Genomic DNA, 24,067 nt, shown 5'->3' with positions numbered 1-24,067 from the left:
CCCACCTGTAATCCCAGCACTTTGGGAGGCCAAGACAGGAGAAGTGCTGGAGACCAGGAGTTCAAGACCAGCCTGGACAACAAAGCAAGACCTTGTCTCTATAAAAAAAAATTTTTAAATTGGCTGGGTGTGGGGGCTCATGCCTGTAATCCCAGCACTTTGGGAGGCCAAGGCAGGTGGATCACCTGAGGTCAGGAGTTCGAGACCAGCCTGACCAACACGGAGAAACCCCGTCTCTACTAAAAATACAAAATTAGCCGAGCGTGGTGGCAGGTGCCTGTAATCCCAGCTACCCGGGAGGCTGAGGCAGGAGAATCACTTGAACCCCAGAGGCAGAGGTTGCAGTGACCCGAGATCACACCATTGCAGTCCAGCCTAGACAACAAGAGCGAGACTCTGTCTCAAAAAAAAAAAAAAAATTTTAAAATTAGCAGGGTGTGGTGGTACACACCTGTAGTCCTAGCTACTCAGGAGGCTGAGGTAAGAGGATCACTTGAGCCCATAGGTCAAGGCTGCAGTGAGCTATGATTGTGCCACTACACTCCAGCCTGGGCAACAGAGCAGGACCCTGTCTCAAAAAAAAAAAAAAAAGAAAAAAGAAAATTTCTAAAAAAGAAATCAGTATCCTCAGGGACAGATGATGTGGTACTCATAAAACAAAAATGGAATGCTTTAAGAAAGAAATGTTCACAGAACAGAAGAGAGACCTTAGAAATTAAAAGGCATAATTTAAAAAATGAAAAACTTGGTTGGGTATAGTGGCTCACACCTGCAATTCGAGCACTTTGGCAGGACAAGGTGGGAGAATTGCTTGAGACCAGGAGTTTGAGAACAGCCTAGGCAAAAAAGTGAGACCCTGTCTCTACAAAAAAAATAAAATAAAAATTAGCAAGGTGTGGTGGTGCATGCCTGTAGTCCTAGCTACTCAGAAGGTTGAGGTAGAAGGATCACTTAAGCCCAGGAGTTTGAGACTGCAGTGAACTATGATCAAACCACTACACTCCAGCCTGGGCAACAGAGCCAGATCATGTCTCAAAAAAAAAAAAAAATTTATAAAAACCTGCCAATATCCTCAGAGACAGAAGATGTGATATCCATAAAACAAAAATGAAATACTTTAAGAAAGAAACAGGCTGGACGCGGTGGCTTACGCCTGTAATCCCAGCACTTTGGGAGGCTGAGGCAGGTGGATCACAAGGTCAGGAGTTCAAAACCAGCCTGGCCAAGATGGTGAAACCCTGTCTTTACTACAAATACAAAAATTAGTCGGATGCAATGGCAGGCACCTGTAATCCCAGCTACTCGGGAGGCTGAGGCAGGAGAAGCGCTTGAACTCGGGTGGCAGAGGTTGTAGTGAGCCAAGATTGTGCCACTGCACTCCAGCCTGGCCGACAGAGTGAAACTCTGTCTCAAAAAAAAGAAAGAGAAAGAAAGACAGAAAGACAAGAAAGACGAAAGGAAGGAAGGAAGAAGAAAGGGAAAGAAAGAGGAAGAAACTAAAGAAAGAGAAAGAAAGAAAGAAAGATTGATTCAGAGAACAAAAGAGGGATCTTGGAAAATAAAAGTATAATTTAAAAAATGAAAAATTCAGTTTGGTGTAGTGGTTCTATACAAGGTGGGAAGCCAAGGTGGGAGGATCACTTGAGACCAGGTGTTTGAGTCCAGCCTGGGCAACATAGCAAGACCTCATTTCTACAAAAATTAAAAAAAAATAAAATTAGCCAGGTGTGGTGGTACAGGCCTGTGGTCCTAGCTACTCTGGAGGCTGAGGCAGGAGGATCACTGGAGCCCAGGAGTTCAAGGTTACAGTGAGTTATGATCATGCTACTAAACCCTAGCCTAGGCAACAGAGTGAGACTCTGTTTCTAAAAAAAAAGAAAAAGACATTAATAGTTGAGTTGGAAAGAAGAGTTGAGAACATCTCCTGAAAGTAGAAAATAGAAAGTGGTCACTCCTCTGACCAATCCCTTCCCCATGCTCAGCCCTGCAGATGCTCCAGAAGGGGAACCTGCAGATGCTCCAGAAGGGGAACCTGCAGATGCTCCAGAATGGGAACCTGCAGATGCTTCAGAAGGGGAACCTGCAGTTGCTCCAGAAGGGGAACCTGCAGATGCTCCAGAAGGGGAACCTGAAGATGCTTCAGAAGGGGAACCTACAGATGCTCCAGAAGGGGAAGTCTTTGTTTCCCAGGACTCACTCACAGCTTTGCCCACTGAATTCTCCAGAAGGGGCATTTATGAGCTCTGAGGAAAGCTGAATCCAGGCAGTTACCCAGACTATGACTGTCTTAGTGTGCTCAAGCTGCTGTCACAAAACTCCATGTACTGAGTGGCTCACAGTTCTGGAGGCTGGAAAGTCCAAGAGCAAACAGCAGATCTGGTGTCTGGTGAGGGCTACTTCCTGGTTTGTGCATGGTCTTCTCATTGTATCCTCACATGGCAGAGAACAGAGAGAGGAAAAACCCTCACATTTCTTATAAGATCACTCATCCCATCACAAGGGCCCCACCCTTATGACCTAATGATCTCCCAAGGCCCCATCTCCAAATACCAGCAGCTTTGGAGTCAGGGTTGCAACATATGAAATTTGGGGCACAAAAACATTCAGTCTATAGCAATGACTGAGTCTTTTTCTAACAGTGGCAGTAGTCTTTTTTTTTACACAGCTAATTTTGTGCTTGTTTTTCAGTTCTTTACACATTAATAGCATATCGTTTAGAAATTCATATATATATTTAAAGACCTTGATATGCCACCCTTTGAGTTACAACTGGGACAGTTGGGAGAGGGGAAAGTGTTCGAGTGGGATGAAGAGCTAGGAGAGGCTCCATGGCCGGAGGCCTGGTCCACTTCGTTTTTGTACCGGAAGGGCTCATCGCCAGTTTAATTGAGAAGATATGTGCAGATGAGGACTTCTGTCACCAGAAATTAGTATGTTGGAGTTAACACTAAAAAGAAAAACAAAGGAACAAGTGATTCTCCTGATGGAGGATGGAAAGGAAAGGTGTCACGGAGTACTTCTAAGATAATGGTAAAGATCTATCTGAGGCTGGGCATGGGGGCTCATACCTGTAATCTTGGCACTTGGGAAGCCAAGGGGGGCAGGCCAGGAGCTTGAGACCAGACTGGCCAATATGGTAAAGCCCCCTCTCTACAAAAAATAAAAAATTAGCCTGGCACAGTGGTGCACACCTGTAACCCCAGCTACTCAGAAGGCTGAGGCATAAGAATTGCTTGAACCTGGAAGGCAGAGGTTGCAGTGAGCCAAGATTGCGCCACTGTACTACAGCCTGGGCGACAGAATGAGACTCTGTCTCAAGCAAACAAAAAACAAACAAAACAAGAAAGATGTACTTTAGATGGCAATTCACAGTTCATCTTATTCAATAAATTGTACAATATGTTTATATATTTTTGTGTATGTATAATACATTTCATAACTTAAAACAGACTTTAACCTCATCTGATAGACTTATCTCTTGTACCTTGATGTCAAGAAAATTTAGGGATAGAAAGACTACGGCCAGGCGTGGTGGCTCAGGCCTATACTCCCGTTTGGGACGCCGAGGCGGGTGGATCACCTGAGGTCAGGAGTTCGAGGCCAGCCTGGGCAACATGATGAAACCCCATCTCTACTCAAAATACAAAAATTTGACAGGCATGGTGGTGGGTACCTGTAATCGCAGCTACTCGGGAGGCTGAGGCACAAGAATTGCTTGAACCAGGGAGGCGGAGGTTGCAATGAGCTGAGATTGCACCACTGCACTACAGCCTGGGAGAAAGAGCAAGACCCTGTCTCCAAAAAAAAAGAATAAAGCATGGCAAAGTACAATCTGAATCTGGAACTTTGCTCTTAGCCCCACTAATGAACTTTGGTCCTGCAAATAATACAGAACAGAGTTGACTGCACTGCACCTAGATAAAGAGGCAATGATTGCTTCACAATCCTTTAATTAAAACTGCTTTTGTATTTTTCATTTTGTAAATTATACTTATTTCTATCAAATTTTCTTTTGTGTTCCCTTTCCCATATTCTTTCTGTCATGTGACTTGGAAATATTAGAAATCCATGACTCCTCCCCACCTCAATGGTCAGTGAGTGTCTTATTCTTCTTGACTGTATATCTAAAATAGCTCTGTCATCACCCTTCTGTTTCCAAAACTCTGCCCTGGTGCTGGTGCAGGCCCTCCTGAGAATCTCTTGCTAGCTAAGACATCATGTCCAAGCAGGCCTCCCGGACTCCGGTCTTGACCTTCTTCAATCTGTCTTCAATATCACCACCAGAATTCAGCTTCTAAAGTGTAGGTTTCTTTTATCATGGCAAAATATACTTATCATAAAATTTGCCATTTTAGGCCAGGCACAGTGGTTCATGCCTGTAATCCTAACACTTTGGGAAGATAAGGGAAGAGGATCGCTTAAGTCCAGGAGTTCAAGACCAGCCTGGGCGACAAAGTGAGACCCCATCTCTACAAAAAAAAAAAAAAAATGTTTTTGAGATGGAGTCTTGCTCTGTCACCCAGGCTGGAGCGCGAGAGTACAATGGCCTGTTCCCGGCTCACTGCAAACTCTGCCTCTTGGGTTCAAGCGATTCTCCTGCCTCAGCTTCCCAAGTAGCTGGGGTTACAGGCGCATGCCACCATGCCCAGCTAATTTTTGTATTTTTAGTAGAGATGGGGTTTCACTGTGTTGGCTAGGCTGGTCTCAAACTCCTAACCTCAAGTGATCCACCCACCTTGGCCTCCCAAAGTGCTGGGATTATAGGCATGAGCCACCACGCCCAGCCCCCCAGAAGCATTTTATATATTTATTATTATTATTACTTTAATAGAGACAGAGTCTTACTTCGTTGCCCAGACTGCTCTCAAACTCCTGGGCTCAAGCAGTGATCCCCCTGCCTTGGCCTCCCAAAGTGCTGGGATTATAGGCATGAACCATTGTACCAAGCCTAGCAGTATTTTGAATAATTCCCAAGCATGCTAGCTGAATGACAGATTTAAGGAATTTCTTTGATTCGCTTTGTTCTTTACAAATATATTTCCCATTTGTTTTGATTATTGTTAACTAGGAAGACTTGCTTGTCAGCACGTTGTGAGGTTGTTTTTACATATAAAGGAATGAATTGTGAATGGTAGTGAGTTCTAAGCTGTTAGTTTGTGGCTGCTCCAGCTTTTATCTAAAATTATGTTTCTTTTCTGATTTGTTCCCAACGTCATTATGTTAAGGGTAGGATAAGGGAAACTTCAACATTTGACAAAGACTCTCCTTTGACCAAAACCTCAGTCAGGCTCCTCTGAGTCCTCCCTGCACTAGGCTCGACCTTGGGCTTCTCTTTCTGTCCTTATTAAATCCAGTTTGAGCAAGAATCCTGACAAATTGGTTTAGTGAAAAGTCTTCCACACTTATATCTGTCCAGCCTCCACATCTTATCACGCTGATCTGCCTTTAGCAATAATCCTATCAAGTTGGTTTAGCCAGAAACCTCTTATCCTTCATGTTTCTTCTTAGCAATTTTCCACCCACTCCCAACTTGCTCCTTGGTGATAAATCCTCACTCATCCTTGTTGGAGACAGAGTTGAGTCCAATCTCTCTCCCCGACTGTGAGACCCCATTGCAATGGTCCCTATACCTATCACCATGGCTCCCTTTGAATAAAGTCTGCCTTATAATCTTTAATAGCATCATGAATAATTTTTCTGTAATAATTTTATCACAAATATTACATTGCAAATTAAGTATGTACATAACTTATGAAAATAGGACAAAAGGCCGGGCACAGTGGCTCACGCCTGTAATCCCAGCACTTTGGGAGGCTGAGGCGGGTGGATTACCTGAGGTCAGGAATTCGAGACCAGCCTGGCCAACATGGTGAAATCCCATCTCTCCTAAAAATACAAAAAATTAGCTGGACGTGGTGGCAGGCACCTGTAATCCCAGCAACTTGGGAGGCTGAGGCAGGAGAATCGCTTGCACCCAGGAGGCAGAGGTTGCACTGAGCCAAGATCAGGCCACTGCACTCCAGCCTGGGCAACAAGAGTAAAACTCCATCTCAAAGAAAAAAAGAAAATAGGATAAAAATGGATGAGATGATTGTTGGAATACCTATTTTGTTGAGTATTTTCTCTGGTGATTATTTTCATATATATATATATATATATATATATATATATACATATATAAAACATGATGCTTTGTAGTAAGATTCTAATGAATGTCATAAAAATGCTCATGTGTGGTCATATCGACATCCACCTTTATGGGGAGAATTTAGTGATTTCTATTGTTCTTACAACCATCATTGCACACTTAACAGAATCTGAAAGCTAGAAGTTTCCTTAAAAATCATCATCATTTCAGAAAAATAACAGATGCTGGTAAGGATTCAGAGAAAAGGGAACTCTCATACACTGCGGTTGGAATGTAAATTAGTACAGACATTATGGAGAACAGTATGGAGATTTCTCAAAAAACTAAAAATAGAACTACCAAACGATACCGCAATCCCACTACTGGGCATATAACCAAAGGAAAGGAAATCACAATTTCAAAGGGATACATGCATCCCCATGTTTATTGCAGCATTATTCACAACAGTGTCCATCATCAGAAGAATGGATAAGGAAAATGTGGCATATTTACACAATGGAATATTTTTCAGCCATAAAAAAGAATGAAATCATGTCATTTGCAGCCACATGGACGGAACTGGAGGTCATTATATTAAGTGAAATAAGCCAGACACAAAAAGACAAGTATCACATGCACTCACTGGTGTGGAAGCTAAAAAAGCTGATCTCATAGAGGTACAGAGTAGAATGATAGTTACCAGAGTCTGGGAAGGATGTTGAGGGTTAGGACAAACAATGGCTAATTAATGGGTACAAACAGCCAGGCACAGTGACTAACGCCTGTAATCCCAGCACTTTGGGAGGCCAAGGTGGGCAGATCGCTTGAGTTCAAGAGTTTGAGATCAGTCTGGGCAACATGGTGAAACCCCATGTCTAAAAAAAATTACAAGTATTAGCTGGGCATGGTGGTGAGCACCTGTGCTCCCAGCTACTCAGGAGGCTGAGGCAGTGACTGAAATCGCACCACTGCGCTCCATCCTGGGTGACAGAGTGAGACTCTGCCTACAAAAAAGTGGGGGGGGGTGGTACAAACATGCAAACATGCAGTTATAATAAATAGAAATGTAACTGCCCAAGGGATTCTTCCTGCCTGCTGCACAGACAAAATCAATCCACTGAGACCACGGCACTGCAGTAAGAAAGAGTGTAACTGACTAGAGGCCACCCACTTGTGAGAACTGGAGTTATCACGCAAATCAGTTTCCCTGAAGGCTCAGAGGCTAGGGTTTTTATGGACAATTTGGTGGGCAGGAGACTAGGGAATGGGTACTGCTGACTGCTTGAAGATGAAATCATAAAGGTGTGTGCTGAGTCCGCCTCTGGGTGGGGTCACAGGACCAGTTGAGTCATGAGTCTGGGTGGGGTCAGTCTGAAAAACATCTCAGAAAAAACAATCTTAGGTTCAACAATATTGTTGTTATCTATAGGAGCAATTGGGAAGGTCACAAGTCTTGTGACCTCCGGCCACAGGACTCCTGCGCCGTAATGGGTTATAGAAATTATGCCTACGTTTTAGCAGAGTTCATGCTCCTCCCATAATGCTATTCTTGTGGCCTTTCATTAGTCTTAAAAATGCAGTTTTCTGTCCCTGAGCAAGGAAGGGGTTAGTTTTAGGGAGGAATTGTTATTGTCCTTGTTTTCAAGTTAAACTATAAACTGAATTCCTCCCAAAGCTAGCTTGGCCTATGCCCAGGAATGACAAAGGACAGCTTGGGGGTCAGACACAAGATGGAGTCCACTATGTCAGATTTCTTTTACTGTCATAATTTTGCAAAGGTCGTTTCAGAAGGAATAAGTTACAATGTTCTGTAGCACAGTAGGGTGACTATAGCTAACAACAATGTATTGTACATTTCAAAATAGCTACAAGTGAGGACTTGAAATGTTCTCAACACACAGAATTGATAAATGCTCATGGTGGTAGATATTCTAAATACCCTGACTTGCTCATTACACATTCTATGCATGTAACAAAATATCACTTGTACCTCATATTTACAAATATTATGTGTCAATAAAAAATATATTTATAAAATAAAAATAAATTTTAAAAAATTTTAAGTCATCTTATCAGGATTAGAAAACTAAGGCCAAAAAAGGCTAAGGTCTTATCCTAGACCACCAACTTAGTGGCTGAACCAAAATGAGGACTCAACTCCTCTAACTTCTGGTGGTATGCCCTTTTCACCATACAGACAACATTATCTTCACTGGCAAACACAGAGGTCATCTACGTTGGTGGCACCTTCTGGATATGGGCAGCGTACAAGCCAGCAGCCTTGTCCCTGTCCTTTCCAGGATTTTAAACCTAAGGCAGGCAATATTATAAAATGATGAATGCAACATGGATCAAGGTAAGTAACATAAACAGGTACAGATACTACATAATGAACAGGCTCCTTCCAGTACATATTTTACAAATCTATGTTATGCATGCAGGTGAAGGTACAAAGGTTCAGTGGGAAAGCTTTATGTTTAGAGCACAGGAAGAATGAAGAATCAGTTTCTTATTTCTTACAACCCTAGACGTTAACATTATTCCTATCTTACAAATGAGGAAACTGAGGTACAGAGAGCTGAAGAAGCTTGGAAATGTCACACAACTGCTAAGAGGCAGTACCTGGACTGGTGATCCATCCTCCACACGCTTGACCACTAAGACAACGTATCTCAGCCTTTTGTGATTTGCAACCTCCCTTATTGAATTCCATTAGGAATTTTCTTAACCATATCACCATTTGTGCATGGAATATGATTAAATTATTATAAGTTAGTTTTGTGGCAATTTATTTTTTTGCATGTGTTTGTTTTTCTTACTGACAGGGTTTAACTCTGTTGTCAAAGCTGGAGTGCAGTGGTGTGATCTTGGCTCACTGTAGCCTCTACCCCCTGGACTCAAGGGATCCTCCTGCCTCAGCCTCCTGACTAGCTGGAACTACAGGCACACAGCACCATACCTAGCTAATTTTTGTATTTTCTGTAGAGATAGGGTTTCCCAGGCTGGTCTCGAACTCCTGGCCTCAAGCAATCCTCCCACTTAGCCTCCTAAAATGCGAGGATTATGGGTATGAACAACCACACCCAGCTCTTCTGGCAATTTGGCTAGGCTATACTACCCAGTTATTCAAACACTAATCTAAGCATTGCTGTGGGAGTACTTGTAGATGTGATTAAACATCCACAACCAGTTGACTTTAAAGGAAAATTATCCCAAGTTATCTGGATGGGTCTCATCCAATCAGCTAAAGGTCTTAAAAGCAAATCAGGACTGGGTGTGGTTGCTCAAGCCTGTAATCCCAGCACTTCGGGAATCTGAGGCAGGCAGATCACTTGAGGTCAGGAGTTCGAGACCAGCCTGGCCAACTTGGTGAAACCCCATCTCTACTAAAAATACAAAAATTAGCGAGGCATGGTGGCACAGACCTATAGTTCCAGCTGCTTGGGAGGCTGAGGCATGAGAATTCCTTGAACCTGGGGAGACAGAGGTTGCAGTGAGCTGCGATTGTGCTACTGCACTCCAGCCTGGGCGACAGAGTGAGACTCTGTCTCAAAAGAAAAAAAAAAAGGAGCAAATATATTTCTCCAAGGAAGAATTTGTTGACTGCAGTGTCAGCTCCTGCCTCAGAGCTTCCCCTCTGCTGCTAACCTGTCCTACATACTTTAGACTTGCCTAGCCAGACTGCACTATCATGCAAACAAATTTCTTGAGATAACTCTCTCCATCCTTGTGTAGATGTATTCTACTGGTTGTTTCTCTGGTAGAATCTAGACTCATAGAACTGTTAAGATTGTATTGTATTAAATTTCATTTAAATCTAATATTTTATGGTATGTTCCATAAACTATAATTTTTAACCTTATTCCATATACTAAATAATTTCTTTTTAATTTACTTTATTATTTTCTACAAAGTATTTCATGTTTGGTTTGGGGATCAAATAAGTATTAGCATATGAATAAATTTACTGATGTCTTCATTGCATCAAAAATTGACAAAATTGCTCTCATGCCCTAATACTTGAAATTGTTGGCCAGGCGTGGTGGTTCACACCTGTAATCCCAGCACTTTGGGAGGCTGAGGCAGATGGATCACTTGAGGTCAGGAGTTCGAGACCAGCCTGGCCAACATGGTGAAACCCCGTCTCCACTAAAAATACCAAAAATTAGCTGGACGTGGTGGCAGGCACCTGTAATCCCAGCTACTTGGGAGGCTGAGGCAGGAGAATCACTTGAACCCAGGAGGCAGAGGTTGCAGTGAGCTGAGATCGTGCCACTGCACTCCAGCCTGGGTGACAGAAGGAGACTCCACCTCAAAATACGTAAATAAATTGTTGCCTTTTTTTTTTTTAAAGAAAAAGCGACTGCTTTGTTTTCATAATTTTCCAGTTTTGTTTGTGAACAATGAGTTTCCGACTGGTCTTTGCAAGCACTCGTTTCTATCGTTTTTTTTTTGGTTTGTTTTTTTGAGACAGAGTTTCCCTCTTGTTGCCCAGGCTGGAGTGCAATGGTGCAATTTCGGCTCACTGCAACCTCTGCCTCCCGGGTTCAAGCAATTCTCCTGCCTCAGCCTCCCGAGTAGCTGGCATTACAGGCACGCGCCACCGTGCCCTGCTAATTTTTGTATTTTTAGTAGAGACGGGGGTTTCACCATGTTGGCCAGGCTGGTCTCGAATTCCTGACCTCGTGATCCGCCAGCCTCGGCTTCCCAAAGTGCTGGGATTACAGCCGTGAGCCACCGCGCCCTGTTTATATTTTAAGTTGTTGGGGAGGAAGGTCCCAACTTCTAAAGGATTTTAAAACTGAAAGTCCTGTATCCCAGAAACCCCTCAGCCCTGTTCATGCTATTAGCTTCCTTCCTAATAGATGGGTGTAACACCAGTTACTTTACAGGTTTCTTCTTTTTCTTTTCTTTTTTTTTTTTAAGACAGAGTCTTGCTCTGACACCCAGGTTGGAGTGCAGTGGTACAATCTCGGCTCACTGCACTCACCGCCTCCACAGGTTCAAGCGGATTCTCGTGCCTCAGACAGTCAAGTAGCTGGGACTACAAGCGCACACCACCATACCTGGCTAATTTCTGTATTTTTAGTAGAGTCAGGGTTTTGCCATGTTGGCCAGGCTGGTCTCGAACTCCTGGCCTCAAGCAGTCCGCCTGCCTCAGCCTCCCAAGGTGCTGGGATTACAGGTGTGAGCCACTGCGCCCGGCCACATTGCAAGTTTAAAAGATTCCTGGCAATGTCAAGCACTCGAACCTTCCAAAACTAGCCACTAGCCACATGTGGCTACCAGGCCTTCAAATTTTGGCTAGTGCAACTCACAAGCTGAATTTTTCATTTTACTTAATTTTTAAATTTAAATTGTTATTTTATTTTATTTTTTGAGACAGAGTCTCGCTTTGTTGCCCAGGCTGGAATGCAGTGGCACAATCTCAGCTTACTGCAACCTCCGCCTCCCGGGTTCAAGGATTCTCCTGCCTCAGCTTCCCGAGTAACTGGGACTACAGGCGCACACCACCATGACCGGCTAATTTTTTTGTATTTTTGGTGAAGACGGGGTTTCACTATGTTGGCCAGGCTGGTCTTGAACTCCTTGACCACGTGAGCCACCGCGCCCAGCTAAATTTAAAAACTGATACTTGATTCAGCTTTTGGAAAACTTTTAAGTATGATTGGAATAACAGAATATGTGAATCTACATTTTCAACTGTAAATTTAATAAACTCTACCAGCCCGGGCAACAGTGAAACCCGTCTCTACCGAAAAAAAAAAATAATAACAAATTTAATTAATTAACTGGCAGTGGTGCTGCGCACCTGTGGTCCCAGCTACTTGGGAGGCTGAGATGGGAGAATCGCTTCAGCCCAGGAGGTTGAAGCTGCAGTGAGCTGAGACTGAGCCACTGCACTTCAGGATGGGTGACAGAGAGACCCTGTCTCAAAAAAAATTTTTTTTCAATAAAATCTAAACGTAGATATTTCTGATGAAAATTTAGTATCCCAACAGAGACTTGCTGGAAGGACAAAATATATCACATTTTTAAGACATTGTACGTATATCTCATTAGTAATTTGATTATTGAAATAACTTTTGAAAATACCGCACTAAAACGTTAACACTAATTTCACCAGTTTCTTCGTACTTTTTGTGGCTACTGCAAAATTTAAAGTTATGTGTGTGGCTGCATTATATTCCGAGCGGACAAGCCCGACCTGGCAAGGCCTGGCAAATGGTAAAAGCCACCAAAATGGTGGCATATGAGCTGCATGATAGGAACGAGAATGATATTCCTTTGTGAAGATCAACAATACTTGACATCAAGTAGGTCTTCAAAACACAGGACTACCTAATGCTGAGAATTACTCCTCCCGATTACACAGTGTCGCATTTGTTTTTGTGAGCGCCTTAAGTTCCTTTTCCGACAAGAAAGGCTGGCAGACAGTTCTGATAGGGATGAAGGAATGGAGCACTTGGGGCTTGCCTAGGCTGTAAGGTGAAGTTTTAGAATTGTCACTTGGAACTCGGTCCCACGCCCAGAAATCGCAAACAGTCCCAAGTTTCCACACTGGCCACGCCAGTCCGCGACCCACGGCGGCTCCCAAGGCTGCGCCGACCTAGGCGCCCACACCCGCGACCTTCCCCGGAAGCGTTTCCATTTCATTCCCTCAAGTCCGCAAGGCGCCGGGTGGGTCCCGAGCGCCCGACTCAGCCATAAAGGCGGCCCCGGGAAAACGCTCTCGGAAGCGGGTAGGGGCCCAGGCCCACGCTGCCCGGCGTCCGCAGGCCAGGGGCAGGGGCAGAGGCAGGGACGGGGCAGGAACAAGGGAAGGTGGCGGCGGGCGGAGGCGAGGCCGAAGCGCCGGGGCCCGCGGGCAGAGGCCGCAAACGTATCCACGCCCCTCGTGCATCCTGGAGCGGGGCTGATGACGAACACAGGGCGCGACGGACGCACACACCGCCCAGCGCTCGCACGACGGTGCGTGCAAGGAGGCGGGAGGGAGCCTCGGGCTGTCACCGGCGCAATCTGCGTCCCGCCTCCTCCGCTCCCTGCGCTCCCGCCACCTCGGCAACTCCGCGCCCGCCTCCCGCCTCCGTCGGAAGCCTCCGCCGCAGTAAGGCTCCCGGTCTCGCTGCTGTCTCTTTAAATGGTGGGGCTACGAGCCGCCCCTGCAGCTGCTCCCTGGGTGGCCCCGCGCGCCGCTTTTGAGGGGCGAACCAAGATGGCGGCGGTTTTGGCTGTGTGAGGAAGACGGAAGAGACGGCGGCGGAGGGAAACCGACTTCCACTAGTCCGGGTCGCTTGGGCGGCCGGGGGCCCTCAGAGTCTCCCGGGCAGTGGTAGCAGTTGCAGCAGGATCAGGCGCCTGTCGGCTTCTGACGTTTAAAACAGGGGGAGCGGAAGGGAGCCACTGGCCGCGGTGGCAGGGCCAGGTATAAGGAAGGAAAATATGGCGGCGGCGGCGGCGGCCTGAGGAGGCGGCGGCGGCGCGGGAAGCTGCTTCGCGGAGATCATGGCGGAGGCGGGAGCAGGGCAGTGACGGGAGCCCCGAGTTCCTAGCGCTGCGGGGCGGGAGGCTACGAAGCGCTGCGCGGCCCCCTCGGGGCTGCCGGGCGCCGGGCTCGCCAGGCCTGGACAATAGCGCCGGGGAGCCGGAGGCGAGGAAAGGCGGCGGCCCAGAGCTCGGTCCCTGGAGCGGGCCATGCAGGCGGCGGCGCGGCCCCGCGGCGCCCAGCGGCGGCAGTGAGGCCGGGGAGCCCTCCGCTCGCGGGCGCCCTCACGCCTCGCCCCTCGCCTCTCCAGGGCCCCTTTCCTGGGCGTCTACTGGCGGGGCCCCCGCCCCGGTTCCCGGGCGGCACGATGACCGACACCCGGCGGCGGGTGAAGGTGTACACGCTCAACGAGGACCGGCAGTGGGACGACCGGGGCACCGGGCATGTGTCGTCTGGCTACGTGGAGCGGCTGAAGGGCATGTCCCTGCTTGTCAGGGCTGAGAGCGACGGTAAGTGAAGCCCCGCGCGGCGGGACCCTCGCAGCCCCCACGGCCCTGGGCCGCCTCCCTGGTTCTTGCGGGGCATGGCGCTCGCTCCACGAGAACAGAGGGACGGCTGGGGAGGGCGGCCACCTCGGGGGAGGACGGGCCCCAGGTACCCCAGTCTTGCGGGAGCTCCCCGGAGAGCGCTTGAAATGTTTCCTTTCTCTGAGTGCCTGGTGGCATTTTGGGTACGAGGAGAGCCAAGCGTGTTTGAGCTGTGCCGCCCTGGAGTGTGGAGAGGTCGAGGACCTGAGATAGGGAGTCCGGAGTGTGCTGTTCTTTTGCACTAGAGTGACCTTGAGAAAGACACTGATTAATCCGATCTGCTGCCTTAGTTCACCCATCTGTAAAGCAGGCATGAAACTTTGCTTGGAGCTAAGAAAGTTCTTGGACCTTTCACACTTTGAAGAACGTTTTGCTGTGCTTTTTTTGTTTTTCTTTTTAAACATCTTTTTGCTACATGTTTCTGATCGTGTTGAAGCTTGGCAACACTGTATCTGGCAACTCTACACTAAGAGAAAACGCTTTCCCTTGCGAAGATTTTCGTTCACCAGTGTTGGTTGTCTTTTTTATAGTAATGCAGAATTTTGTGTGTAGCTTACTATATAAACATCTTGCAAAGTTGGAATCATATGAGCTTTTTTTGATTGCTTAAATGGGTGTTCATAATTTGGTTAACAGGTGCAGAGAAGTTGGCAGATAATTTTTAAAACCTTTCGGATCTTCCCTAGTGTTTATGCTTCACAAATTTTGAAACAGCCCTCAAGGTTCAAAGACTAAGTTGTTTGAAAATAAGTGTTTCACGTTTTTTCTTTTTTCCACATGTGCTGTTTCATATTTTAAAAGGCTTATTCTCTGTAGGGATTGCCACTGTTTTTGGCGATATACAGTGAATTTCACTTAAAATACTCAAGTGGGGTAAAACTATTCTCAAATTGTTACTTCCAAACGTGAAAGTAAGTTATCTTCCACTTCTTTTTGTACATTAGTTTATATTTTGCAGTTGCTAACGATGCCAGTTTATTATGATTGTAGCGATTCTGTATCTGAATTATTGCAAACTAATTTCAAGGAATTTTCTTCAATTGGACTCTCCCCAGAACTCCAATTCCATGAAAAACCAACAAGACTAGCCCTTCTGTAATTGAAGACTCTGGGAATATTGATGTTCTATTTAAATTGAAAGTGGTAATCTGGAGTATATTGCCCACAGGTTATAAGGTTACCCAAAGTAACTTAAATCTGGAGAGAAATTATTTTCTTTTGGAGGCATTTAAAAATTTTTGAATGTTGGGTGTATTTTTCTGGGCCTGAGTTATTGGCTTCTTAAAATACAATTTGAATGTCAAGTGTTAGTGTAATTTTGTATGTGACTCACATAATAACCTACTCTAGATCTTTCACACATTTGGAAAACTTTACATAGTATGTTGGAAGGTATGGACTTTTTGTATCAGCTTCTTATGAGATGAAAGTATCCGTAGATTTCTTTTTAATTTTTTACTTTCAAAAAAATAAAAACAGGATTTTGCCCTGTTGCCAAGGCTGGTCTCAAACTCCTGACCTCACGCAGTCCACCCGCCTCGGCCTCCCGGAGTATTAGGATTACAGGCATGACCCCCATCCCAGCTGAAAGCATATGTAGATTTGAGATCAATTTATTGAAATCCATATTAAAAATAATACATATAACCTTCACATCATGTGTTTAATTTGATTCATTATACAAAAAATCCTTTAAGATATTTTTAAGTATAAAAGTTTAATGTCGTACTATCAGAAGTATGCTTTTCTGCATAATTAATATAAGCAATTTTTTTCCGTGTATATATTATTATAGTATATATAATAGTATATATAACTATAGTATGTATAACATGTATATATAACTATAGTATGTATAATATATAGTATATATAACTATATATAATATATAGTATATATAACTATAGTATATATAATTATAGCATATATTCTATATAGTATATATAACTATAGTATATATAATTATAGTATATATACTATATAGTATATATAATTATAGTATATATATTATATAGTATATATAATTATAGTACATATACTATATAGTATATATAATTATAGTATATATACTATATAGTATATATAATATGTATAGATTTTTTTTTTGAGATTGGGTTTTGCTCTTGTCTCCCAGGCTGGAGTGCAATGGCACCATCGTGGCTCACTGCAACCTCCATCTCCTGAGTTCAAGCAATTCTCCTACCTCAGCCTCCTTAGTAGCTGGGACTATGGGCATGTGCCACTATGCCTGGCTAATTTTTTTGTATTTTTAGTAGAGACGGGGTTTCAACATTTTGGCCAGTCTGGTCTCGAACTCTGTACCTCAGGTGATCCACCCGCCTCGGCCTCCCAAAGTGCTAGGATTACAGGCGTGAGCCACTGCGCCGAACCTCCATTTATATTTTTACCATTTTGGAAATAGCCACAAATCTCTCTTCCTCCATTTTGCAGGTTGGAGGTTAAATGACTAAAACAAAATGACTTTAATTTTTATCTAGCAGGGAGAGCTTAACTAAATTACTGATGTGCCCTTGTAAATTTAGGCTGTAAGGAAAACTGAATGCAAAGAATGGACTTAGGCTGGGTGCGGTGGCTCACGCCTATAATCCCAGCATTTTGGGATGCCCAGGCCGACGGATTGTGTGGGCTCGGGAGTTCAAGACCAGCCTGGGCAACATGGCGAAACCCCATCTCTACAAAACATACAAACATTAGCTGGTGCGGTGGCACGGGCCTGTAGTCCTATCTGCTCTGGAGGCTGAGGTGGGAGGGTCACTTGAGCCTAGGAGGTGGAGGCTGCAGTGAGCTGTGATCATGCCACTGCACTGGGTGACAGAGGGAGACCCTGTCACACACAAACACACATACACACACACCATGGACTTAGAAAAAATTCCAGGATACTTGTGAAATACTGTCAGTAATCTTTAGTCGATGATTAACATTTCTTGTCACATCTAAATAGGGATAATAAGTCAAAATTTACTGACTACCTACTATGTGCCAAACTCTTTTAGCAGTTTACTTATATTGACTTACGTAATTCTTACAACAGTGTCTGATTTAGTGCTATTAACCATATTAAACTCCCATGTTACTGTCTACTTGCATTTGCTGCTTTATTAGCCTGAAGGTTTATTTCAAAGAAAATGAAAATTACTTTTAGCCTAAAGATATTTTCGGCCGGGCACAATGGCTCATGCCTGTAATCCCATCACTTAGGGAGGCCAAGGCGGGCAGATCACAAGGTCAGGAGATCGAGACCATCCTGGCTAATATGGTGAAACCCTGTCTCTACTAAAAACATACAAAAATGTAGCCAGGTGTGGTGGCGGGCGCCTGTAGTCCCAGCTGCTCAGGAGGCTGAGGCAGGAGAATGGTGTGAACACAGGAGGCGGAGCTTGCAGTGAGCCAAGATCAGCACCACTGCACTCCAGTCTGGGTGACAAAGCGAGACTCCGTCTCAAAAAAAAAAAAAATTTCAATTATAGTTTATCTACAAGCTTTACATGGATGTTTTTGTGTTGACTGCCAGTTGGGGTCAGCCATTATTGTGTGCTTGCTCCATTCTCCATCATAGGATAATTGATATTTTCTTTTTGTTGTCATGAGCAAAATGGAAAGTATTTCTGATTTTCCATAAATTGAGTCATTTGTCCAATAGAAACTTAAAATTATTGCGCTTTTCCATACTTGGGCTAGACCTAGTCATTATTGTGTTGAAGTTTTTCTTTTCTAAATTACTTGTAGCTTTTCCCCAAAAAAACTTTTGATTTTCAGATTATTTCTTTAGAACAAAATAAATATTTGATTCTTAACACTTTTCAAGTATTTATTGTCTGTAAAATTAAGTTTTTGTGATGTGTTAATCATCCACCTTAGAAATAGGCTATCAGCTAATTTGGTGGTCAGTGCTAGAGATAGTGTGATAGGGGCTTTTGCATACCTGTGAAATAAATGGTGTGTGTTTTTTTTTTTTTTTTAGGCAGAATCTCTGTCATCCTGGCTGGAGTGCAGTAGCATCATCTTGGCTCACTGCAACCTCCACCTTCCAGGTTCAAGGGATTCTCATGCTTCAAGCCTCAAGCCTGGGATTACAGGCGTCTGCCATCATGCATGGCTAATTTTTGTGTTTTTAGTAGGGACACGGTTTCACCATGTTGGCCAGGCTGGTCTTGAACTGCTGACATCAGGTGATCCGCCCTCCTCAGCCTCCCAAAGTGCTGGGATTACAGGCGTGAGCCACCACACCCGGCCGCGTTTCTTTTTTTTAATAAGTTCTCTCAGAAAGGATGACAACATGTCCAAAGTCATTCATCTATTAAGATGGTATGAGTTGGGATTCAAATTCAGGCAATTCATTTTAAACTGTACACACTACTTAGTAATGACAAAGCGTTTGGGAATTTTATAATGTATATAGTGTTAGCATGGGTATAGAAAGGCTGGGTAGTTTTAAAATTCTCTCATTATTGGGTCTATATTTGTGGACGGGGAAGCTATAATAATGCTATCTCAACTGTAGGCTCAGTTCTTGTTAGGGGAGCTTATATGCTCGTCTAAAAATCACAGAAGAGAATTTCTAAATGGAAGTACTTGTGGCCTTCATGTTACAGAGCAGATCTGTCATGGTAAGTACTGTATGCCTTCCCTTCCAAAACCGAGTAACTTGGCACTCAACCTACCTTGCTTTAGAGGAAAAGGGATGTCCCACTAAGCTTCTGGGCCCATTTCTTGGATTGCATCTTTATCCAGTAGGTTTCTGCTGGCAAAATAGGTTGTAAGAACACGTCCCTTTTGTTTTTTGTTTTCTTTTTTTTTTTTTGAGTCAGTGTTTCGCTCTTGTCACTTAGGCCGGAGTGCAATGGCACAATCTCGGCTCACTGCAACCTCCGCTTCCCGGGTTCAAGCGATTCTCCCGCCTCAGCCTTACGAGTAGCTGACATTACAGGTGCCTGCCACCACGCCTGGTGAATTTCTGTGTTTTTAGTAGAGACGAGGTTTCACCATGTTGGCCAGGCCGATCTCGAACTCCTGACCTCAGGTGAGCCACCGCACCCTGCTCTTTTTCTTTTCTTTTCTTTTCTTTTTTTTTTTTTTTTAATTTTTAAGAGCTCTGTTGCCCATGCTGTAGTGCAGTGGCAGGATCATAGCTCACTGTAACCTCAAACTTCTGGGCTCAGTTGATCTTCCCACCTAGCTGGGATTACAGGTGCACACCACTGTGCCTGGGTAATTAAAAAAAAATTTTTTTTTTCTTTTTTTTAAGAGATGGAAGGGGGTGGGTCTTACTTTGTCGCCCAGGCTGGTCTCGAACTCCTGGGCTCAGGCATGAGCCACCATGCCTGGTCCAATTTTTGAATTTTTTCAAAGGTTCTCACTGTATTGCCCAGAATGGTCTCGATCTCCAGATGTGAAGTGATCTTTCCCACTTGGCCGCCTAAAGTGCTGGGATTACACCGCACCTGGCCCATGCTTTTCTTTAAGGAAGATAGATTACCTTATTTCTCTCAGTTTTTATGATAGCCGTATACCTGCAAAGTTCCATCTTCCATTTCAGATTATTTTGTTTTTATTTTTAATTCTTTCAGTGTATGCTGTGTCTGTTAACTTGAAGTAAGGATAATAATTTCATACCTTGCTTATGCTCTCCCTTTGTGGTGAAATCATTATACTACTTTTCTTTCTTTTGTTTTTTCTTCAACTTTTATTTTAAATTCCCGGGTACGTGTGCAGGTTTGTTACATAGGTAAATGTGTGCCATGGTGGTTTGCTGCACAGATCAACCCATCACCTAGGTATTAAGCCCAGCATCCATTAGCTATTCTTCCTGATACTCTCTCTCCCTCTGCCCCTTTGTACTACTTTTCACCATTATGATTTTTACCATATCCACCTGCCAGTTTTACAGTTGATAAATGCAAGGCTGGGGAACAAAGTGAGACCCCCCATCTCTACAAAATAAAAATTTCTAAATTAGCCATGTGTGGTGTTAAACACCTGTAGTCCCGGCTGCTTGGGGCTGAGGCAGGAGGATTGCTTGAGCCCAGAGGTCGAGGCTACAGTGAGCTGTGACTGAGCCACTACTCCAGCCTGGCTGATGAAGCAAGACCCTGTCTCAGAAAAAAAAAAAATGTAGCTCGGGCACAGTGGCCCACATCTGTAATCCTAGCACTTTGGGAAGCCAAGGTGGGGGAGGATTGCTCAAGGCCAGAAGTTCGATACCTGCCTGGGCAACATAGCAAGACCCTGTCTCCACAAAAAGTTTAGAAAATTAGCTGGGCATGTGGCACATACTTGTAGTCTTAGCTACTCAGGAGGCTGAAGCCAGAGAATTGCTTGAGCCCAGGAGTTTGAGGCTGCCATGAACTTTGGTCATGCTACTGCACTCCAGCCTGGGTGACAGAATGAGACCCTATTTCTAAAAACAAAAAATTTAAAAAAGAAAGAAATGTAAGGGAGTTGGAATTCCTCCACACACTGAAGAGTGTCTTTGGCCATAATCATATTTGTGCTCCTTATTACGAAGTACTTGCCAAGGCATCCAGAATAGTGTGCTTACATTGAGTTTTTACCTTGAATTTTATAAAGTATTCTTTACATTTCAAAATAGTTTTATCTGTTCTCTGACTCATATCTTAGAGTTAAACAGGTTAAATTCTCACTGTTACTTGAGGCATGAAGAAAATGAGACATGGAGAAATGTTTTTGTTCAAGGCAGCACTGCTAGCGAATGGTAAAACTGGGATTCTGTGCTGTTTCTGCCTCTTGATAGAACTCCATGTTCATTGTAGGTGGGTCTGCCTCTATCCCTACTGTGATTAGAAAAGGAGGTCAGAACACTTAGGGTGGAAAAGCTTTTGGGGGTAAGAGCTGTGAGAGAAATGAACAGATCAGTCAGTAGTATAGAATCTTGTATATGCCAAGCATTCTGTATATTTATCAAGAAGAGCTCAGTGTCGGTACAAGGGGAAGTATTTCACTTTGAAAAGTTTGTTTATTTAGAGACAAGGTCTTGCTGTCACCCAGGCTGGAGTGCAGTGCCACGATCATAGCTCACTGCAGCCTCAAACTCTTAGGCTCAAGTAATCCTCCTACCTTAGCCTCCCAAGTAGCTGGGACTGTAGACACATGCCACCAGGCCCAGCTGATTTATTTTTAAATTTTTTCAGGGGAGGTGGGATCTTACTGTGTTGCCCAGACTAGTCTTGAATTTCCTGCCTCAAGCAATGCTCCTACCTCACCCTCCTGAGTAGCCAGGATTATAGCTGTGAGCTACCACACCTGGCCCATTTTAGTTTTTAAATGCCACTATGTAATGAGGCATTTAAATTTTTTTCCGAAAAGTCAGGAAAGAAGGACTTGGAGCACATACCTGTTACGGGTTTAAAGCATACTTTAGTCTTGGCCGGGTGCGGTGGCTCACGCCTGTAGTCCCAGCACTTTGGGAGGCCGAGATGGGCAGATCACGAGGTCAAGAGATCGAGACCATCCTGGCTAACATGGTGAAACCCCATCTCTACTAAAAATACCAAAAAAAAAAAAAAAAAAAAAAATTAGCCGGGCTTGGTGGCGGGAGCATGTAGTCCTAGCTACTCAGGAGGCTGAGGCAGGAGAATGGCGTGAACCTGGGAGGCGGAGCTTGCAGTGAGCCAAGATCGCGCCACTGCACTTCAGCCTGGGTGACAGAGCGAGATTCCGTCTCAAAAAAAAAAAAAAGCACACTTTAGTCTCCCACCTACATGAGATTTTGGGCCCCATTGACTTTTCTTTTTTTGAGGCGGGATCTCACTCTTTTGTCCAGGCTGGAGTGCAGTGATCAGGGCTTACTGCAGCCTTGACCACCAGACTCAGGTAATCCTCTCACCTCAGTGTCCCAAGTAGCTGGGACCACAGGTGTACACCACCATACCTGGCTAGTTTTTTCTGTTATTTTTGTAGAGATGGGGTCACCTTATGTTGCCCAGGCTGGCATTAACTCATTTTTGATGGTGCATTCTCTCTACTAATGAAGCATAGTACATAAGTCCCTGCCTTAAGCCTTGAATATTGATAAGGACAATATACTCTAGAAGCTGATGGGTTGAGCTGCTTGCTTAGGAGTGACAAGGGTGTAGCTCTTCTTTCTGAAATCCTTCAGTATTTATCCAAATCAGGGCTGTGGTGAAGACCAAAGTTACTTAAACCCAAACCCAAACACTCCCATATTACTTCCCTGCTACCTGAGTCTAGTTGGTTGATAGTGAAGATAAAACCATAAAAATTACAGGAATTCTCTATACTATCTCGTTTCTTCAGTGAGAGGAAGTTAAATCTTCTAAACAAGTGAATTTTCCAGATGAATAAAAGCTGTGTACCAGAAGGTGTTTTTTGGGTTTTTTTGTTTTTAAATTTTAGAGACAGGGTCTTGGTCTTTCACCCAGGCTGGAGCGCAGTGGTGTGATCATAGCTCATTGCAGCATCAACATTCTGGGTTCAAGCAGTCGTCCTGCCTCAGCTTCCCAAGTAGCTGGTACTACAGGCACATACCACCATGTCCAGCTAATTTTTGCATTTTTTGTAGAGACAGGGTTTGCCATGTTGCCCGGGCTGGTCTTGAGCTGGTCTCCAATTCTTGGCCTCCAGTGATCCACCCACCTCAGCTTTCCAAAGTGCTGGGATTACAGTAATGAGCCACCATGCCTGGCCTACCATAAGTTTTAAAAGTCAGTAATTTTTTTATGGAATGTTGACTAAATGTGTACTGGAATGTTTTTCCTAAACAGTAAATGAATATATTGGTTAACCTCTTATTCGTAATGTGTTTATGGGTCATTATTAATGCTTGGTGTTTATGGGTCATTATTAATACTCGTTTTCCTGCTATACAACAGTACAGTGTTACCAGTGAAATGACTGTATGATGATGCCCTAAAAAAACAAGTATTGAGGCCAGGCGCGGTGGCTCAGCTTGTAATCCCAAGCACTTTGGGAAGCCAAGGCAGGCAGATCATGAGGTCAGGAGATCTAGAACATCTTGGCCAATATGGTGAAACCCCGTCTCTATTAAAAATACAAAAATTAGCTGGGCGTGGTGGTGTGCGCCTGTAGTCCCAGCCACTCTGGAGGCTGAGTCAGGAGAATCACTTGAACCCGGGAGGTGGAGGTTGCAGTGAGCCGAGATCGTGCCACCGCACTCCAGCCTGACAAGAGTGAAATCCGTCTCAAAAAAAAGTATTGAGTGCTGGTTATGTACTACATATTGGGACAGGCACTTGAATAAAAAATTTCAGTTAATGCTAATGGCAACCCTGTGAGGTAGGTATTATTTTTTTCTTAACTATAAATCTTGTTGTATTAACTTGCACCTGGCAAGAAATCTATAATTTTTATGCAAAACCTTTCCTTTTAAAAATATTTGCTGAGTTCTCTGTAATGTAGACTTTGTTAGAAGGATACCTCACTCTGTACTACCAGCCATCTTTATCTCCAATCCCCAGAGGTGTAGTGTTGTGTTGTGTTTTGGTGGGGGTTGGTAGCACCCTACAAGAAAGGGCCTCACATTTCATTTTATAGGAAGAACCAAGATATGAAGCAGGGAGGGAACTTTTTTTTTTTTTTTTTTTTTGAGGTGGAGTCTCGCTCTGTCACCCAGGTTGGAGTGCAGTGGTGCGATCTCGGCTCACTGCAACCTCTGCCTCCCGGGTTCAAGCGATTCTCCTGCCTCAGCTTCCCGAGTAGCTGGATTTACAGGCACGCACCACCATGCCCAGCTAATTTTTGTATTTTTAGTAGAGATGAGATTTCACCATGTTGGCCAGGCTGGTCTTGAACTCCTGACCTTGTGATCCGCCCGCCTTGGCCTTTCTTATATTTTTTCTTGCTATT

The 24,067-nt window shown here is 44.3% G+C and overlaps 1 protein-coding gene and 1 long non-coding RNA gene across 13 annotated transcripts in view, besides 8 other annotated features; both read left to right on the top strand.

Moving 5' to 3' along the window:
• LOC101928957 (uncharacterized) overlaps positions 1 to 3,112 on the top strand; it is a 57,307-nt gene extending 54,195 nt beyond the window's left edge. For both annotated transcript variants that reach the window (XR_007064306.1, XR_944152.4), the window contains one exon: positions 1,983 to 3,112. This is a non-coding gene — a long non-coding RNA (uncharacterized LOC101928957). The remainder of the gene's footprint in view (positions 1 to 1,982) is intronic.
• Positions 13,059 to 13,258: a silencer, noted in NCBI's record as "silent region_6030". NCBI's record gives its function as "represses an Ori minimal core promoter by ATAC-STARR-seq in GM12878 lymphoblastoid cells {active_cell/tissue: GM12878}" and the evidence as "EXISTENCE:reporter gene assay evidence [ECO:0000049][PMID:35858748]".
• Positions 13,074 to 24,067, top strand: part of PPP4R3A (protein phosphatase 4 regulatory subunit 3A) — a 53,047-nt gene continuing 42,053 nt past the window's right edge. For 7 of the 11 annotated variants that reach the window (NR_169191.1, NR_169192.1, NM_001284281.2 and 4 more), the window contains exon 1: positions 13,318 to 14,122. Coding sequence is in view for 7 of the 11 variants with exons in the window: in NM_001284281.2 (NP_001271210.1) it covers positions 13,981 to 14,122 (142 nt within the window). In the remaining 4 variants the exon portion in view is untranslated. Of the gene's footprint in view, positions 13,100 to 13,317; positions 14,123 to 24,067 lie in introns of those variants that run through there. The other 4 variants (NR_169193.1, XM_047431561.1, XM_005267842.3 and 1 more) reach the window with 2 other exon arrangements.
• Positions 13,319 to 13,598: an enhancer, noted in NCBI's record as "active region_8924". NCBI's record gives its function as "activates an Ori minimal core promoter by ATAC-STARR-seq in GM12878 lymphoblastoid cells {active_cell/tissue: GM12878}" and the evidence as "EXISTENCE:reporter gene assay evidence [ECO:0000049][PMID:35858748]".
• Positions 13,319 to 14,066: a biological region, named in NCBI's record as "NANOG-H3K27ac-H3K4me1 hESC enhancer GRCh37_chr14:91975906-91976556".
• Positions 13,416 to 14,066: an enhancer, noted in NCBI's record as "NANOG-H3K27ac-H3K4me1 hESC enhancer chr14:91975906-91976556 (GRCh37/hg19 assembly coordinates)". NCBI's record gives its function as "activates a minimal SCP1, AML or CMV promoter by ChIP-STARR-seq in primed H9 embryonic stem cells {active_cell/tissue: H9 hESC(primed)}" and the evidence as "EXISTENCE:reporter gene assay evidence [ECO:0000049][PMID:30033119]".
• Positions 13,839 to 13,938: a silencer, noted in NCBI's record as "silent region_6029". NCBI's record gives its function as "represses an Ori minimal core promoter by ATAC-STARR-seq in GM12878 lymphoblastoid cells {active_cell/tissue: GM12878}" and the evidence as "EXISTENCE:reporter gene assay evidence [ECO:0000049][PMID:35858748]".
• Positions 13,949 to 14,008: a silencer, noted in NCBI's record as "silent region_6028". NCBI's record gives its function as "represses an Ori minimal core promoter by ATAC-STARR-seq in GM12878 lymphoblastoid cells {active_cell/tissue: GM12878}" and the evidence as "EXISTENCE:reporter gene assay evidence [ECO:0000049][PMID:35858748]".
• Positions 14,067 to 14,718: an enhancer, noted in NCBI's record as "H3K27ac hESC enhancer chr14:91975254-91975905 (GRCh37/hg19 assembly coordinates)". NCBI's record gives its function as "activates a minimal SCP1, AML or CMV promoter by ChIP-STARR-seq in primed H9 embryonic stem cells {active_cell/tissue: H9 hESC(primed)}" and the evidence as "EXISTENCE:reporter gene assay evidence [ECO:0000049][PMID:30033119]".
• Positions 14,259 to 14,308: a silencer, noted in NCBI's record as "silent region_6027". NCBI's record gives its function as "represses an Ori minimal core promoter by ATAC-STARR-seq in GM12878 lymphoblastoid cells {active_cell/tissue: GM12878}" and the evidence as "EXISTENCE:reporter gene assay evidence [ECO:0000049][PMID:35858748]".

Source organism: Homo sapiens, chromosome 14, assembly GCF_000001405.40.
Source record: "Homo sapiens chromosome 14, GRCh38.p14 Primary Assembly".
Taxonomy (NCBI): domain Eukaryota; kingdom Metazoa; phylum Chordata; class Mammalia; order Primates; family Hominidae; genus Homo; species Homo sapiens.
The sequence above is the reverse complement of the archived record's forward strand: the minus strand, read 5'-3'. Positions and strand labels throughout refer to the sequence as shown.